The sequence below is a fragment of the Homo sapiens genome, chromosome 9, assembly GCF_000001405.40.
Source record: "Homo sapiens chromosome 9, GRCh38.p14 Primary Assembly".
NCBI classification, from domain to species: Eukaryota; Metazoa; Chordata; class Mammalia; order Primates; family Hominidae; genus Homo; species Homo sapiens.
The window spans coordinates 20,663,586-20,682,372 of record NC_000009.12 but is presented as its reverse complement, the minus strand read 5'-3'; the positions used below and the strand labels follow the sequence as shown (position 1 = coordinate 20,682,372).

The following is an 18,787-nucleotide window of genomic DNA, read 5'->3' as shown; positions in this document are numbered from 1 at the left end:
CTCAATGAGTAAACGTACTGCCTCTGTTGTAGAAAGCCTGGTTTTAGGAACACACAGGGAAATGCCCATTTAAAGAATGATATTGAGTCTACTTTTGACACCGTCTTATTATGTTCAGGCTGCTATAACAAAGTATCTTAGACTGGGTAATTTATAAACAATAAAAATTTATTGTTCACAGTTCTGCAAGCCGGGAAGTCCAAGCAAGGTGCCAGCAGATTTGGAATATGGTGAGGTTCCATTCCTCATGGATGGTGCCTTCTGTGTATCATCACAGGATAGAAGGGGAAATAGATTACCTGAAGCGTCTTTTATAAGGGCACGACAGGAGTCCTCATAACCTAATCACCTCCCAATGGCCCCACCTCTTAATCCTGTTGCATTGGAGTTTAGGCTTCAACACATTAACTTTGGGGGACACAAACATGTAGGCCACAGCAGACACCTATCCTAGATTCAGATTTTGGGCAGGATTGAGAAACTTGACCATTAAACTTGGAGCCTAGAACCGATTTGACTGCTTTTACTGCAGATCTAGGGTTAAGCTGGAAGTCCATGGGCTCACCCCCTCCTTCTGGGGTATACTCCTTCCATACAGGAACTGCAATTCAGCAGGGATCATTTCACCTTTTAATTTATTTAATCTAATGCTATACCAGGCACTGTGGTAGGCACAGGAGATACCAAGATGAAAGACGTATTCTAGAGCCTTATGGAGCCAGCTCATTCTGGAGACCAAGTCAGCAGCCACCAGATTTATTTTGACAAGACTAGAGAGATAGGCTTTTAGAACTAGAAAGGATCTCAGAAGTTGCCAGTTCATGACAAAGTTTTCTCTGACAAATTCTGAAGTTAAAAAATATGGACAATGTATTAAGTTTTCATAAAAATAAATTTATTCAATTTAAAGGACTGTCCTTTTCCTGAGATTATGCTTTGTTCTTTTGTTTTGTTTTAATGTTAAAAGTACCCTCTCAGGCCGGGCATGATGGCTCACACCTATAATCCCAGCACTTTGGGAGGCCAAGTGGGAGGATAACTTGAGGCCAGGAGTTCAAGACCATCCAGGGCAACAGTGAGGGCCCCCGCCCCATCTCTATTAAAAAAAGAAAATAGAAGTTTTCTCATATGAAATGATAATAGGTTATACTTGTTGGGAATTTTATTTTAGTAAGCTTAAAGTCTTATGTTGGAACTCAAAATTTTTTTACGCTTCACTGATTTAATCTAATCAAGCCAATTACACAGAAGGGAACTAAAATTCTAAAAGGATACAGGTTCATCTTCAATTCTTCAATGTCATATGACTAATTGCTTTTTGTGGGGGGCTGTGGTTGGGCAGGGCTGTTTTTTGTTTTTGGCTTTGTTTTGGTTTGAGGCAGGATCTTACTTTGTCACACAAGCTGGGGTACAGTGACACGATCATAGCTCACTGCAGCCTCACCTCCTGAGCTCAAGCAATCCTCCCACCTCAGCTTTCCAAGTAGCTGGGTCTGCAGGCACACACCACAGTGTTCGGCTAACATACACATATATTCTACTACTACATTCTAATAAATAAATGTATATATAGAAATGAAGTCTCACTATGCTGTCCAGGCTGGTCTTGAACTCCTGGCCTCAAGTTATCCTCCCGCCTCGGCCTCCCAAAATGCTGGGATTATAGGTGTAAGCCACCATGGCTAGCTGCTAATATGTTTTAGAAGGACTAAAACCCTGGTTCCCTGACTCCTAGTCCTATCCTCTTTCTACTGCATACCTATTGAATAGCTTGCTTTATGCACTGGGATATAAATTTTTAAAATTTAAATTTTTTTTTGAGACAGAGTCTTGCTCTGTTGCCAGGCTGGAGTGCAATGACGCAATCTCAGCTTGCAACCTCCACCTCCTGGGTTCAAGCAATTCTCCTGCCTCAGCCTCCCAAGTAGCTGGGACTACAGGCGTGCGCCACCATGCCCAGCTAATTTTTGTATTTTTGGTAGAGACGGGGTTACACCATGTGGGCCAGGATGGTCTCTATCTCTTGACCTCGTGGTGGGCTCACCTCAGCCTCCCAAAGTGCTGGGATTACAGGCATGAGCCATCGCACCCGGACAATAACAACAAATTGTAAAAGAAATTAAGGTGAAGGCCGGACAAAAAACATTAGAACAGGTTCTAATAGTCCACCTATATTCTTAGCCAGGAGGAAAAAGATTCTGCCTGCCTAATTAATCACGTTAACTAAATAGCTTACTTTCCTTCTGAGCTGAAAGCAAAGAATGGAGCCTGAAGGAATGTAGCTACAATTTATAGTTAAATTTTGATTGAGCTATAACTTAGGAAAGATCAGTTTAACTTAGTTGGGCGAACCTACATCTGATGCAGATGTTTGTAGCTCTCTACAGCTGGTTCACTGACTTTCAGCCTGAGGAATATTTCTGAGAAACAGCAGAGAGAGGGTGGTCCTTCATAGGGGTTACAAGAGAATCACCTTTATTCATGTAACCTGTGGAGGGTGCGCTAGACTTAATTCCAGAAGGCCCAGCTCAGACGCAAATTTCACTTGAAGGATTAAAACACCTTTCAAATCTGTATTTTCTAGACATTGTACATGCAAAACTCTGCCTTTTAAATATTTAAGACAAACTACCGTCTTTAAGAGGTAGGCAGGCAGATAGTATTTCTGTTCAACTCCTTGTATTATTTCCACTGAAGTAGTTAAGCAGTTCTCTATTGTATAAGACCCTTTAGATAAGCACACATTTTGAAGTCAGTGTAGAAGGGCCTACTGACTTTAACAACAACAAAAAAAAAGAGAGTAAGAAAAATGTGCCCACTCCCAAGTCATTAACAGAGCTGAAAAGAATATGCTAACAAAAAAAAGACACTGTAGTCTGAATCCTGTACTGTAAGGAAGGTCATGTCACCCACAGCATCAGGAGAGAGACACAAAGCCTTGAACTCAGGCCCAAGCATGCTGGGCTGGCTCAACACGCCCACCCATTCATCATCAGGCACGAAGACTGGGAGGAGAAATTCAGTACTAAATCACAGAGCTCCAGTGTCAGCACATCACAGAAAGCAATCTATTAGATTTAATTAGATATACGAGTCTCCAATGGCTCCCCATTTCTTTCTAAGTAAAAGCGAAAGTTCTTACAAAAGCCAACAGGGCCATACATGATCTCCCTCCCCTGCACCACACACCTCCATCCCCAACACACACACACACACACACACACACACACACACACACACACACACACACATACACAGACTGTCTGTTGCCCCTTTGACCTTGTCTTCTACACTCCTGCCCAGCTCACTCACCCGGCCTCCTGGCTGCTGCAAGATCTTGGCATTTCTCCCCAGATATCTTTGTGACTCATTCCATCAGATCATTCAAGTCTTTGCTGAGATGTTACCTTCTGGATAAGGCCTACTCTATCAGTCAGGGTCCCAGCAAGAAACAGATGGTACAATCAAACTAGGAAACATTGAAGAGTTTAATAAAAGACTATAAACAGAGGTATGGGCAGGGATTAAAAAGATCACAAGGGAGACGCAGTAACATTGGGGCCCCCAAATCACGCCTAAGCTGAAAGCAGAAAGGAGAGAGTGTAGTTACAAAACACAAAGAAGCTGTGTTTGGGGCATTTGGTCACGTAACACAGCCAGTCCACAGTGATGCTACAGGGAGGGGGTTCAGGGAATTACTATCTTCACTTCCCTCATTCTCCTCTCTCTTGATCTCCTGAAGCAAGGGAAGCCTGTGCTGCAGTTATAGGTCGGCCTCCTGCAGCACTGTGAAGGGGCAAAAAGAGAATATCTGACACACTTACCTTGGTCACCTATAATAGAGATTGCTGTGTAACACACCACCCCAGAACTTAGTGGCTTACAATCACAAACAATTATTCATTCTCAGGATCCTGTGGTTTCCTAGGCAATTCATATTTAGGCTGGTTTTGCTGGTCCCTCCTGGATCTCTTTACATGTCTGCAGTCAGCTTAAAGCTTGGCTGGTCTAGGATGGCCTCATTCACATGCTTGGTAGTTTGCTCAAGGTCAGCTTGGGCAATAAGAATGATGTAGCCATGTATCTCTAATAACTACAACCACTTTTCTTAATAACAAGACAATATCAGATCCTTACTAATATTGACATACATTATTTCAATGTAATCCCCATGCTAAAAATAATCCAAATTTTTATGTGACTCAGTAATGTTCCCAGCACCAAGGGATAGAATATGTTTGATCTAAGCCAGCAATTTCTTTCTGAAATGGACCAGAGAGTAAATTTGCCTCAAGTCTCTTTTTGTTCTTCCTGATATGTTTTTAATTATTGGAGGTGCTGAGAGGATTCAATAAAGCAAAGGATATATAAAAACTTCAATATATCTTCATATACACACACACATACATACATTTTCTTTATCCAATCATCTTTTGACAAACAGGTTGTTTCCATATCTTGACTACTGTGAATAATGCTGCAGTGAACAAAAGTGCAGATATCTCTTTGGGATGCCAGGTTCATTTCCTTTGGAGGTATACTCAAAAGTGGGATTGCAGTATCAGATATAGTTCTATTTTTTAGTATTTTGAGAAACCTCCACACGGTTTTCTATCATGGCTCTGCCAATTTACATTTCCACCAACAGCATGTAAGTGTTCCCTTTTCTCCACATCCTTAACACTTGTTACCTTTTCTAACAGGTTTGAGGTTATATCTTATTGTAGTTTTAAATTTGTATGATGATTACTGATGTTGAGCATTTTTTCCTATATCTATTGGCCATTTGTATGTCTTCTTTGGAGAAATGTCTATCAGGTCCTTAGTCCATTTTTTAATAAGGTTATTTGGTTTTTTTGCTATTAAGCTGAATTCTTTGTATTTTCTATATTAACCCTTTATCACATAAATAGTTGGCAAATATTTCTCTCATTCTGTAAGTTGTCTCTTAATTCTGTTGTTTCCTTTGCTGTGCAAAAGCTTTTTGGTTTGATGCAATCCCACCTGTCTATTTTTGCTTTCGTTGCCTGTGCTTTTGGGGTCATATTCAAAAAATCATTGCTCAGAACAAGGTCAAGAAGCTTTCTTCCTATCTTTGCTTCTAGTAATTTTACAGTTTTAGATCTTATGTTTGAATATTTAATCTGTTTTAGTTGACTTTATCACATGGGGTGAGGTAAGGGTCCAATTTCATTCTCCTACATGTGAATATCCAGTTTTCCCAACACCATCTAATAAAGAGTCGATCCTTGTGTGTTATTGTTTAAGATCAGTTGACCATAGATACATAGATTTATTCGTGGGCTCTCTGCTCTGTTCCATTGGCCTATCTGTATATTTTTATGCCAGTACCATACTGTTTTGATTAGTGTAGCATTGTCATGTACTTTGAAATCAAGAAGTATGATACCTCCAGCTTTGTTCTTCTTGTTCAAGATTGCTTTGGCTATTCAGGGCCTTTTGTGGTTTGTTATAAATTTTATGTTGTTTTTTTCTATTTCTTAAATAGTATTATCAAAATTTTTTAGGGATTGTATTGAATCTGTAGATCATGTTGTGTGGTATGAACATTGTAATGGTATTCTTCCAATCCATGAACAGAGGATGTCTTTCCATTTATCTGTGTCTTCTTTAATAAATGGATTTTGATGTTTGAAAATTTCCTTTCCACTTGCATTGAAATCCAAAAATGCTATTGGAACTTTAGTTTGATTTTGGAAAATATATCTCCTGCAAATGTTTGTGGGAATGGAGCTCTTGCTTCTTTTTAAAACTTTGACAGCACAGGAACTATATTAAGCAGGTTGACATTACTTGTGATTGAAACAGCATTAGTTTTTGTTAAAATGACTTTACCATAATGTGAGTTTTGGACATATGCTCTGTTTGCCTTGTAATTTTATATTGAGAAACATGATGAAGTCTGCCACACAAGCTAATTTTCAAAGCCACTCATGTTCAATAACAGTAATTGAGGGAGGTTCTTCTCATTCCAGAAGTCTCAGGCCTGAGTTTTAAAAATTGCAACAAAACTTTACCGCTGCTAAGCCATAAAACTGCTGTGTGATAGGGCAAATCGGGATATTCAGCTTCTATTTTTGACAAAAGTTTGCAGAATTGATCATTAAGTCCACCAGAGTAAATGAAGTTCACCATTGGAACTTCTGGGTCAGAAACACACAATAGATTCAAACACTTTCTGCAAATTACCTGCTGATGAACAGCATAGTAAGTAACAATGGGCTTTAAGTCTCTCACATTTTCACAAGCTTTATTAATTTGTCCAACTAAGCTTTTTCTTCTCCATACACATTTTTATCACCATAAGTTATAAGGCATCTTAACAGATTCTACTTCAGGTTTTATTAATGTTTTCCCAACATCTTTGAAAATATATTTGCCCATAGTTGTTCTACGCAGACGATTCATAGAGGCTAATTCTTCAGTGACTTTAAACTCAGCGTTGACTCCTTGAATAAGCAACTGAGCACTATTGGTAATACCTGTCAACTCATCAAGAGCCAAGGAAAACCACTCAAAATCATCTACCTTGTTTTGTACATGACTATTGATGTTGCTCCCAGTGTCTTCAACTCTTCAAACAACAGATCTCACTGAAAGGTTAATCGTCTGAAACAAGTTTATTTTCTTGGGAAAAAATTTTTTCAGCTGCTGTGATCAAACATGATTTAATTAACTCATCATCAGTAAACAGCTTTCTTTGCTTGGCCAACAAAGAAGCCACTCAGAAAATTACTTTGGTTTCAACTCTTTTGTTATTTTTGTGAAGAAATTCTGCTGTGATGACGTTTTCCATTGTAAATTTTCACATTTTCTGACCATTGTCTCCCTGTGAGTTGGGAATATTGTGATGAATCTGGGAATATTGATGTATATTATCTTTTAGTACAGGTATAGTATCACTGCACAATAAACACATACTTTGTCATCCAATTTGATAACAAAATAATCCACAATCCACTGTGCCTTAAAAGCATGACACAAAAAGTTCACTTTTCTCTTCTTTTCTTGTTTTGACATGATGGCTATGCTCTGGTATATATTTTTATGTAAAAACTATTCTTAGCTTGAAAACATTCTAAAATTAGGTGATCATCCAGTTTTGACCCACAGACTATAGTTTGCCTACCCCTAACCTAAGCCAACCATGGCTCTCTTCTTCCCCTTTGCCAGATACTTTCCCAGACTTCCTTACAGCAAGTCATGGCCATGTGGTTCAGGGCTGGCCTATGAGACTTAGAGAACTAGATTTATAGAAGAAAAACTTTTTTAACCAGAAAAAGAGGGTCTTACAAGGAAGAAGTCAATTGCCCTTGACTGTGGCTCTTGCATTTTTGCAGAATATGTACCACAGAAGTAATTTGTTCTCTTGCTGCTTCCATAGGTATAGTTCTGCCCCAACTCTACCCCATCTCACCCTGGATTCTGAGACAACCTCTTATCCCAGGAACTTATTAAGTAGGTATTGGGGGGAAATTTTGAAGGAATCTATTCAATCAGGCTTCTTAAATTTCAGTCCTTATAACCATGGGGCAGAAGAAAAGCACAGCTATCATTTATTCAACAAATATTACTGAGTAAATAGTATCAGCTCAACGCCATGCTAAACACTGATTATACAGAGCAAAGTCAAATAAAATCATCATCGTCCTCCAGACATTCAAAGAACACATGGCCTACTTTCTCCAACTTAGCAGGCAAAGCTGACCAGTATCTTTTGATGCAACTTCATGAGAGTTGTTCCAAAGTGGCACCACAGCCTGGACTTCAAAGATGTGCTCTCAGCAAGGGTTGCTAGGGGTCTTAAAAAATTCTCTTCTGCTTACATTCTCTGTCAAGAATTAGGCCTTTGGAACATCTTTATAATATCCAGGCCTAATTGTCCAGTGGTGCGCTGACAGATGTTTAATTAGCAGCTCTTGGTGGAAAGAGATAGGGGAGAAGCTGATGTGTAGTGTTTGCCAACTTCCATGGTATAAATACAGTACTCCCACATGGTCAATTTCCATATGGAGTTGGGAAGAGGTGTACACTTACACATAATTGTATAATATTTCCACCATAGAGACAATAGCATAAATAACCTCAATAGCATAAATAATAATAAAATGTAGAAAAATAATTCAGAAGTAATAAGCTTAGAACATCTAATATATTTATTTCTAATACTAATATAAGATATTTAATTGTAAGTTGATATAATTTGCTTTTTAATAAGGACTGTGTTTAACAAGTAGTTTGCAAAGTTCCTGAAATTTAACAATTGGCTCTTGTGACAAACTGACTGCAACATACCACTACAGATAGACCCAGTGCCTCGCTTCTTATCCAAACTGGTAGCATAAGGTCTTGATTTAGCCTTTTTACCTTAAAGAACAATTGACAAATTTTCAACTAATTAAGAGTAAAGAGGAATGTAGAAAAACTTTTACAACTTGATAATTAAAAAACAATCTAATTAAAGAATTTTATTAATTAGGAGTCGGGCATGGTGGCTCACGCCTGTAATCCAAGCACTTGGAGAGGCCCAGGTGGGCAGATCGCTTGAGCTCAGGGGTTCAAGACCAGCCTCGGCAACATGGTGAGACACCACGTGTGGCACGCACGTGTAGTCCCAGCTACCTGGGAGGCTGAGGTGGGAGGACTGCTTGAGCCTGGGAGGCAGAGGTTGCAATGAGCCGAGATCACGCCATCACGCCACTGCACTCCAGCCTAGGTGACAGAGTGAGACCCTGTCTCAAAAAAATAATAATAATTAATTAAGTATAATTAAATAAAAATGTATAGATATTTCTTCAAAGTAGATATACAAGTAGCTAGTAAATAAATGAAAAGATGCTCAATATCATAACCCCCAGGAGAATGCAAATCAAAGCCACAGTTAGATACCACTACCAGGATAGTTATAATAAAAAAGACAATAAATGATGCCGATGCAGAGAAATTAGAACCCTTACACATTGTCGATGGAAATGTAAAAATGGTGCACTGTTATGGAAAAACAGTTCAACAGTTCCTCAAAGTGTTAAGCATAGAGTTCCGTATGACCTAGCAATTCCAATCCTATGTATATATCCTAGAGAAATTAAAACATAAACCCACATAAAAGCTTGTATTAAAATGTTCATAGCAGCATTATTTGTAATAGTCAAAAAATAGAAAAAACCAAGGGTAAAAACAAACAAGAGTAACTAGGCCTCCTCTTCCATTTCTGTCTATACTGGCCAAAATCTTCCCCAAAATACAATTTATCCCCCTACCATTCTGGAGTGGTTTTCAGACATTCATTGCCACTGCATACTCCAAGCAATGGGAATAAAATCTGAGTATCTTTACTGCTGGTACTGCTAAAAATGTCCATTGGCTTCCAAAATGAATACAAATTGATGCCTAATTATCAGTTTACTTCAATAAGTTATGTATTAGAAACTATTAGTTTATTTAAATAAAAGCAACTTGTAAATAGATTTAAATCCATGGAACTGAAGTTTGGTGAGTCCTGTTGGTGACCTAGATTGTTTAACCAGCTAAACAATAATATTTTAAGTAACATAAGTTTTTCCTGTGGTTCTTTGGTTATTTTTAAAAATAATTTATTTTTGGCCGGGCGCAGTGGCTCACGCCTGTAATCCTAACACTTTGAGAGGCCAAGGTGGGTGGATCACCCAAGGTCAGGATTTCAAGACCAGCCCGGCCAATGTGGCGAGACCCTGTCTCTACTAAAAATACAAAAATTAGCTGGGCGTGGTGGCGGGCACCTGTTGTCCCAGCTACTCTGGAGTCTGAGGCAGGAGAATGGCGTGAGCCCGGGAGGCAGAGCTTGCAGTGAGCCTAGATTGCGCCACTGCACTCCAGCCTGGGCGACAGAGTGAGACTCCATCTCAAAAATAATAATAATAATAATAATTTATTTTTAAGTTATAACTTATTGATTTCATTTGTTTAACTTAAATATGTGTTGCAGAAAGGCCATAGGGCTTGATATTTATCAATAAAGATGCTCAATAGTCAAACCAGCTCCCATAGCTTTGAAAAATTAATTTTCAATGGAAAACTTTATAAAAATTATACCATACTTCTCACTTCTTCTACAGAGTATGCCAATTATAATTCAACCTTCTGAATGACATTGCAATGCACTTGTAGTTGAATTTTAAAAACTGCAATATGCCAGCAGGACCTTTGGAACAGTCTTCTATAAAGTTTGCAGGAGTTTTACTGATTCATTTTTCCTTATTTGTTGCCTTCACACAAAAGTAGAGTATGGTTCCCTATCCCATGTACACACTATGGAGTTATGTTGTCTTTATAAGCTACAGTCAGTGGTGTGCTGGTAAACAGGCTCTCCAGGGAGGAAAAAAAAAAAAAAACTACAACGGTTGCTGATTTCTGTGGTGTAAATATTCCTATTACGGCCAAATTCAAACTATGAACCTGATGTCCCTGAATATGGAATTTGAAAGAGGTGTACACAATTAGCTCTCAGGAGCCTGTACAAGCCAGCGGCAGCACTCCATAGTGACAGCTATGATTTAGGTGTCTGTGTATGTCAGATTAGTTTTGAGAGAGTCGGCACATCACATCTTCAAAGGTGACTGTATTAGGGAGCAATACAGGAAACTTTTTGCCCTTTTTTTGCCTGCCAGGAGCATAATCATTTGCCCCAGCATCTGTTAAACAGTAACTCATTTTCTCTTTTCTCTCTGCATTCTTTCTTCTTTTTAATCTCTCCTCTTTTATTACATGTTACCATACTAATCTATCTTGTGAGAGAATGATGCCTCCCTTGCAAGGACGGCCAATAGGTGGAAACTGAACAGTCACCATATACACACAGATATTCTGCTCTCCTGTAGTGCACATTTGAATCTGGCTGCTCAAATCCTCCTGCATTCCACTTAGAGAAAGCTTGTTCTGGGCTGAAGCCATTCTTCAAGCTTAAGGATTTTAGAAGACTGGTATGAGATAACAGGATTGTCCACACAATAATTGGAGAAGTGAAATTTGTTTTCACTAATACTAAGGCATATTCCAGTCTCAAGAGCTTTTTCCTCTTTATTTTAAGGCTTCCAGTTCTTGAAATTTGCCACCGAGAGTTCAATATATAGATGTTTGTATCTATGTAATTTTATCTACGGTGCACATTTCAATATAAGACTAAGAGTTCTAATTGGCCTGACATATTTATAAGGTTGTATGTATCCATGACACAATCCGTCATTTATATTATATTATATCCATGATATAATAATTTCATTGTCTTATTACAGAAGATCAGAAATGTAATAAAATATAAGACTAAAAATATGTCTTTCTAAGGAGAGAATGTTCTGTAGACAATCAGAGTCTCTTATACAGTTAGTATTTACTAGCTGGGATTTAAAATTTTTACATAATAAGGATTGCTATTTTTTAATATCAAGTTAATAGAGTTGTTAGAGGTACAACTCAGTTAATGCCCAAAGACAATCCAAAAATCATTCAGTTCTTCAGAGTGCCTATTGTGGGCAGAGTGGTTAAGATCTTAGACTTTGGAATCATAGAAATAGGGATACAAATTTCAGACGTTAACCAACTCTGTGACCTTGGGCAAATTAACTCTCTAAGCTTCCGGTTCCTTATTATAAAATACAGATGATATGGTTTGGCGCTGTGTCCCCTGGCCACCCCACCCCAAAGCTCATCTCAAATGGTCATCCTCACGTGTCTGTCAAGGGAGGGACTTGGTGGGAAGTGATTGGATTATGAGGGTGGTGGTTTCCCCCATGCTGTTCTCGCGATAATGAATGCATTCTCACAAGATCTGGTGATTTAAAAGTGTGACACTCCCTCCCTTTCTCTATTCTCTCTCCTGCTGCTATGTAAGATGTGCCTTGCTTCCCCTTCACCTTCTACTATGATTGTAAATTTCCTGAGGCCTCCCCAGCCATGCAGAACTGTATCAATCAAACTTCTTTTGTTTATAATTACCCAGTTTCAGGTGGTATCTTTATAACAGTGTGAGAACAGACTAATTCAAGAGATACTAATGATATTTACCTCACTAGGCTTAAATGAGGATTTATTGATCATTAGGATTGATTTTTAGGATTAAATGAGATTATTCATATAAAGCCCTTAACCAGTATCTAAATTTAATCTACCCATTCATTACTTCAACAAATAAATACTTACTGTGCACCAGGCCTTGGGCCCCTAATAAGAGTTCAGTAACTATAGATATTATTGTTGTTAATGCTAAGTTCTTACTATGTAGAAAGTGCTCTAATAAACACCATGGGTTAAAAAGATGCATAATAAACCCATGCTGCCATCATAGGGCTTGCAAAATTTTAAATGACTTTTAATTTTATTTTCTAATACTTTTTCAGTTCTCACAATTCCTCAATGATTAACCATTTCATTTGCAAATATCTCAGAATCTGGGCTTCATGAGTATATGACCTATGTAGTCATGTAGGAACCCACACTAAGAAAGTTCCTGTGCTTGCTTCAATGCTCTGCTGTTGCTTTCTTGACATTTTCAGTAATGCTTACATGGGCGCCCTGTATTATCTTTTTCTTTTTCTTTTTTTTTGAGATGAAGTCTTGCTCTGTCACCCAGGCTGGAGTGCAGTGGCACAATCTTGGATCACTGCAACCTCTGCCTCCTGGGTTCAAGCGATTCTCATGCCTCAGCCTCCTGAGTAGCTGGGATTACAGGGTGCTTACCACCATGCCCAGCTAATTTGTGTATTTTCAATAGAGACAGGTTTCCCCATGTTGGCCAGGCTGGTCTTGAACTCCTGATCTCAAGTGATCTGCCCGCCTCGGCCTCCCAAACTGCTGGGATTACAAGCATGAGCCACAGCACTGTGCCATGTTTTCTTTTTTCACTGGCCTTACAATTTATGAAGCAACACATATCCAATCTTGACGAGGATAAGTTTCTGGGCCCAAGAATCCTGAATTATTTTAGAATAACCAAGTTTTCACCAAGTGCTTCTCAGGCTTCTGGTTTTTTGCTATTTTGGTTTGTGCTGCTTTGAAAATAAGGAACAGAATCCCTTCAAACTAGCTCAATTAAAGGAAGGGCTAGTGTAAGGAATTAGTGACAAAATAAATCTAAGGAGGGCCTCTCTCCAGTGCCGATCCTCCCCTTGCACAACCCTGAGAATGAGCACCCCCTTAAATTTTTTTCACCCTAGGACCTCACTTGCCTTACTCCAAAGACCAGCTATGGTCCTTGGTGAAGCACAAGGCCCCCAAGAAGGAAGAAACCAGGGAATTAAATATCCAAGAGCAGGGAAATAAATATTCTTTCTCTTCCATCCTCCGGTCTCCAAACAGGACTTCCTATGGAAGTCACAGGGCAAGGAATCACCTTTGATGCAGTCCTTTGAAAATGTCAGCCCAGAGATGGGTGGGGAGGCTAACCGTGAACCTAGAGGAGAAAACGGGGAGCGTGCCACACAGCCTGGGAACAGGATGGGCAATAAAGTTTGTCTGGTGTGATCACCACTCCTTATGCTATGCATTTTGTTTCCGTCCAGAATGTTGTTACTTTTGAGCTTTGCTACTTCATTCCTATTATTTGTTTTAAAGGTTTCTACAGATAAGTCAGGATTCAATCTCCTGACAAGGCTAATACAAGCTGTAGGCCAGTTCATATGTGGAAGGTGACCTCCTCAGAGACAGCCATTTACCTGGCTCCTGACAGATTCAATTACGACTAATGGATCTATTCAGTGGCCATCATGCCCTGTAATCATACCATTTAGGATTTGTACAATCTTTATAGCCTATCCTAATTTCTCTTCTTTTCCTCCCCCTGTAATTTTTTGATGTAGATGTTGCCTGATATCAGAACATAAAAAATGGAAATAGGAAAACAATAGTTAGCTGTTTGTAACTGCTTCTAACCACAAGGAGTATTTTATTGCACAGTATAATAATGCTAGTAAATAAAGCAACTTGCTTATATTAATAAACATTTATAAAATGTTTCCACTTGATTCACATTTCCATCTGAATGGGTTAAGAGGATGTCCTTCACTTTGCTTCTCTTTTTGTATCTAGTTGTTAAAATGGAGTCATTAAAGATCATATAATTCTGGGGTCATTTTCCCCCTTATGATTAAACGTTAAAAGTATTCAGCAATGAACTCTCAAATAGAGGAAAACAAAGGGAAATTTGTCATTACAATTTCACACTTCACTCTTAAAAATACAAAAATGAGATGCAAACAAAACCAAATTTCTTCTCTGCCGTATGAAATGTGGAAATGTATTTATTTACAGGAAACTACAATTAAATTGTATTTCATTCAGAAATTATTAGAGATAATAGATCTTCTTTCAGCAAATGTAAAAGAATACTTCTATTTCCCTGTCCAAACACGCTTAAACCTTTTCTAGTGGCATCTATAATCAACTAAAAAAAAAATTATGATTCAACTCCACTTCTGTTATCTACACCAGAATGATCTTTTTGATGGTATGCAAAGAAGAAAGAATCCCGTCTTCATTAGGGAGGTTTTTTTTCATATCTGGTTTTTATTTTTGTTGATGTTGCTGTTGTTTTTAATTTCTTAATTCTTTGGAAATCCAAGGTTTTCCACGCATAATCTCACCACAGACTGACCATGAAGCAGTATTATTCCTGTCACAATAGTGACCATGTCAGAAAGGTCTTCAGGTGTCAACTGTAAAGCACCTAAAAGATACTTGGAATTTCTGCAGTGGTTTCCTGGGTAATTCCTCTCTGTCCTCGCAGGGATGTTCCTGAACCCCAGGCTAATATTGCAGCATTAGAAAGAAAGATTCCTTTGTCAGGGATGTGATCAAAAAGTGGGATTAATTTTGGATGAGGTTAAAACAAAGGAGATCTGCCATTTATTGGGTACTTTTTCTTTTACAATTTAAATTCCCAATTATAAAATTATATGGCACAAACTTGTCCTCTTCCTTCTGGGTTAATGCATTTGTAGACTTTGCTTTAGCTTTAAGACTGCCAACAAGATTTATAAGTCCATTTCAATCTCAAATAAACGAGTGGATTATTTTTAGTTTTTTCCTAAAGTATATAGCCTTTGATTACTTATCAGAGTATTTTGAGTAGTGAAAATTTTAATTTTTAATTGATCAAGATGATAATATGAGACAAGCTATAACACGTGCATTTCACATGAGGATGATTTTAGTGACTTTATAAGATAGACAAAGAAAGAGAAACTAATTAGTGGTAGATTCGAAATTCGACTTAAATGTAATTATTAGTAGCTTCAGAGAACAATGGAGGAAACTGTGAAATTTGCCAAAATACAAAGTGACTTCAAATTTAAATCAATCGCTTTTTTCCTAATGAAAAGATGCAAAAGTAGTTTTTGTGGGTTTTTTTGTTTGTTTGTTTTTGCCAACTAGAATATTTCATATTTCAGGAATATCAAAGACATAGTCAAAAAATAATTTATGGATTTATTTACACATACATGTTTACAATTTCATATTGTCTAATATTGTAGAATGTTCCCCAATTGATGTGCTTTTCCCACTCATATACATTAAACAATTTTAATCAAACTCTTCGCAGACACCTCCAACATCAGTATTGTTGCCACCACTGGAACCACATTTTAAACCATCACCATAATTTTCTAGAAAACACCCTCTTCTCTTCCATCTAAATTGCCTAAGGTTAAGTATATAATAAATCCGTATAGAAGCTCTAATTGGAAACTTCATTCCAAATCATAAGTACCTATCTGAGTAAGAGTAAGACAGTTTTTGTTTGTTTGTTTGTTTTGAGATAGGGTCTCACTCTCACCCAGGCTTGAGTGCAGGGGAGTGATTTCGACTCACTGCAACCTCTGCCTCCTGGGCTCAATTGATCCTCCTGCCTCAGCCTCCCAAGTAGGTGGGACTACAAGCATGCACCACCACTTCCAGCTGTTTTCGTATTTTTTAGTAGAGATGGGATTTTGTCGTGTTGCCCAGGTTGGTCTCGAACTTCTGAGCTCAAGCAATCTTCCACCTCAGCCTCCCAAAGTGCTGGGATTACAGGGCAAGACACTGCACCCAGCCAGTTATTTTTTTATTCATGCTATATGTAATATTTATGGTCTTCACCAAATAATCACTTTATAGAATGCATAATAATATGGGTAAATAGTTTAAACAATGAGATAGTACTACAGAATTTTTAACAACAAATGAACAAACAAGCAAACAAAAGCCAGCAGTCTTCTGACCCATCCTTTCCCACACCTGATTCCAGATCTCTAGTGACAACCAGAGATAGAGATACAAAAATTAGCTGGGCGTGGTGGCGGGTGCCTGTTATCCCAGCTACTCGGGAGGCTGAGGCAGGAGAATCACTTGAACCTGGAAGGCGGAGGTTGCAGTGAGCTGAGACCACGCCATTGCACTCCAACCTCGGTGACAGAGCGAGACTCCGTCTAAAATATATATATATAATTATAAAATATATAATTTTTGTATTTTTAGTAGAGACAGGGTTTCACCATGTTGGCCAGGCTGGTCTCAAACTCCTGACCTCAGGCAATCCGCCTGTCTTGCCCTCCCAAAGTGCTGGGCTTACAGGCGTGAGCCACCGTGCCCAGCCATTAAAATAATATATTTCAATTATATTCTGGGTAACAAGAGATTAAAACCCGGGAAAAGCAAACATCCAAAGAACTTTTATTCCCTTTAAGAACTACTTTTCATTTTGTTCTCCTGCTTAGGCTTGTGCTGTCACACTTTTCACCAACATATTTACTCTTTTCCTTTTACTCTCATATTTCTAGAATCAAATAATTGTATAGACATATAAAAGGTGGATATGCACTTATTTGATCTTGTCCTGACACAATACAGACCACAATTCTGAGGAAGTGACTGAACTGAAATCACTAATCTTTTTATTATAGAATGAGATAAAGAGATGAATTAGCTGATTCGTCATTCATTAGTTACAAAAGATAAAGAGTTGGGCTTTATTGTCCTAAGCAGTGTAAATGTAGTATTTACATTTTCTGGGAGTCACTGCCTCCCAGAAAAGGCTTTGCAAATTAGAAGGTATTTATATTTTTCACTATCATCACTATCATACTCTTCTATAAGACTTGGAAACCTATACAATTATTCTAGGTCTTTAGATCTCTTGGGACTCAGTCTTAATAAAACTTCAAGCAAGGTTTTTCTTTTTCTTTAGCAGTCTCTAAGCCAGTAACTCTAGCTCTATTAAGCCATTAACAATCAACATGCCTACTTAATCTAGCAGAATACCCCCATACTGGAGTACTCTACCCTGGTTTATCATTTTCCTTTTTTAATTAAGTCAACTAATGTTACCACCAACTTATTCGTCATAAGGCAGAATACTAGTTTTATCATTTCTCTGTTTAAAAAAATGCAGTGTTTTCCACTATGTATAACATTTCAAAATACCAAAAACTGGTATTTTGAAAAATAGTTTTATTGAGGTAAATATGACATACATTAAACTTTATGTATTTAAAGTATACAATTTAATAAGCTTTGACACATGTATAAACTCTTGAAACCATCACCATTATTAAGATATCACCCTGGGCCGGGCACAATGGCTCACGCCTGTAATCCCAGCACATTGGGATGCTAAGTCAGGAGGATTGCTTGAGGCCAGGAGTTTGAAACCAGCCTGGTCAACAAAGCGAGACCTCATCTCCATGAGAAAAAAAAAAAAAAAGAAAGGAAAGAAAAGAAAAGAAAAGAAAAGAAATCACTCTGGCATTTGAAGCTCTCCACTATAAGGTTCCTTCTTTATGGGATTTATCTCTCCCTTCCTGCTTATTTGCCTTATTCCTCTTGAATATATTATAAACTTATAAACTCTTCAGAAAGACTGATGAAGCCCTACTTGTTTTTGGAGCCCTTAAAATGCTTAGTAGATAATATGCACTGAGAAATGAATAGCTCTTTCTAATTGAGGTCTGATTTGTTGAACCATTAAATAGAATCAGTATTAATTGAACTATTACTTTTTACCTCTTTTAATAAAGTAGGTGTTTCTATGGTCATACTAGATGTCAGATCACTTAGTCAATATGTCAGATCACTTAGTCAACCTTGTCTCACAAATAGATATAAATTTAATACTATAAACTATTTTTTATTTATATATGGGTCTAGAAATATAGAACTTTTTAAAAGGAAAACATATGTTATTTAAATATAGAACTTTTAAAATTAGATTTTCTGCAGAATCTTGAGGAGAAAACAGAGTTAATACATTCATTTCATTAATAATTAATAAAAACAACAATGCTGATATTTTCACTTCACTGTTGGAAAAGTGCTTTGAAATTTACTGTCTCAGTGGATCTCATTAAGACAAAATAACAACACAAAATAGGTAACTGGGAAAACAAGTTTAAAAGACATCATCCACTAGTGATTTACTTCATGACATTAATAAAGAATAGAAAGAAACATAATCCCTACATGTTTATTTGTTCAAGTATGAAGATTGGGAGAAAATATCATATAAAGTACACTTTGTAAGGATACTTGAGATGGTTTTTACAGAAAATGTGTTTTAGAGAAATGGAAAATGCAGAAGTCTGAAAAGGAAAGTCTTTCAGAAAATACTGTGATACGTGAAGCAGTCTCAGGCTTGAGGTTACGTATTGTTTTCCTCACACAAGAATTTTAAAAGCATTCTGGTACCATTATTGAAGTGGCAACTATATTGAATTCTTTGAAAAGAGGGCCCATGTCTTAGAATTGTTTTTGATGCATAGCA

At 37.7% G+C, this 18,787-nt stretch overlaps 1 protein-coding gene across 4 annotated transcripts in view; it reads right to left on the bottom strand.

Moving 5' to 3' along the window:
* FOCAD (focadhesin) overlaps positions 1–18,787 on the bottom strand; it is a 340,326-nt gene that overhangs the window by 313,578 nt on the left and 7,961 nt on the right. The window lies entirely within an intron of this gene.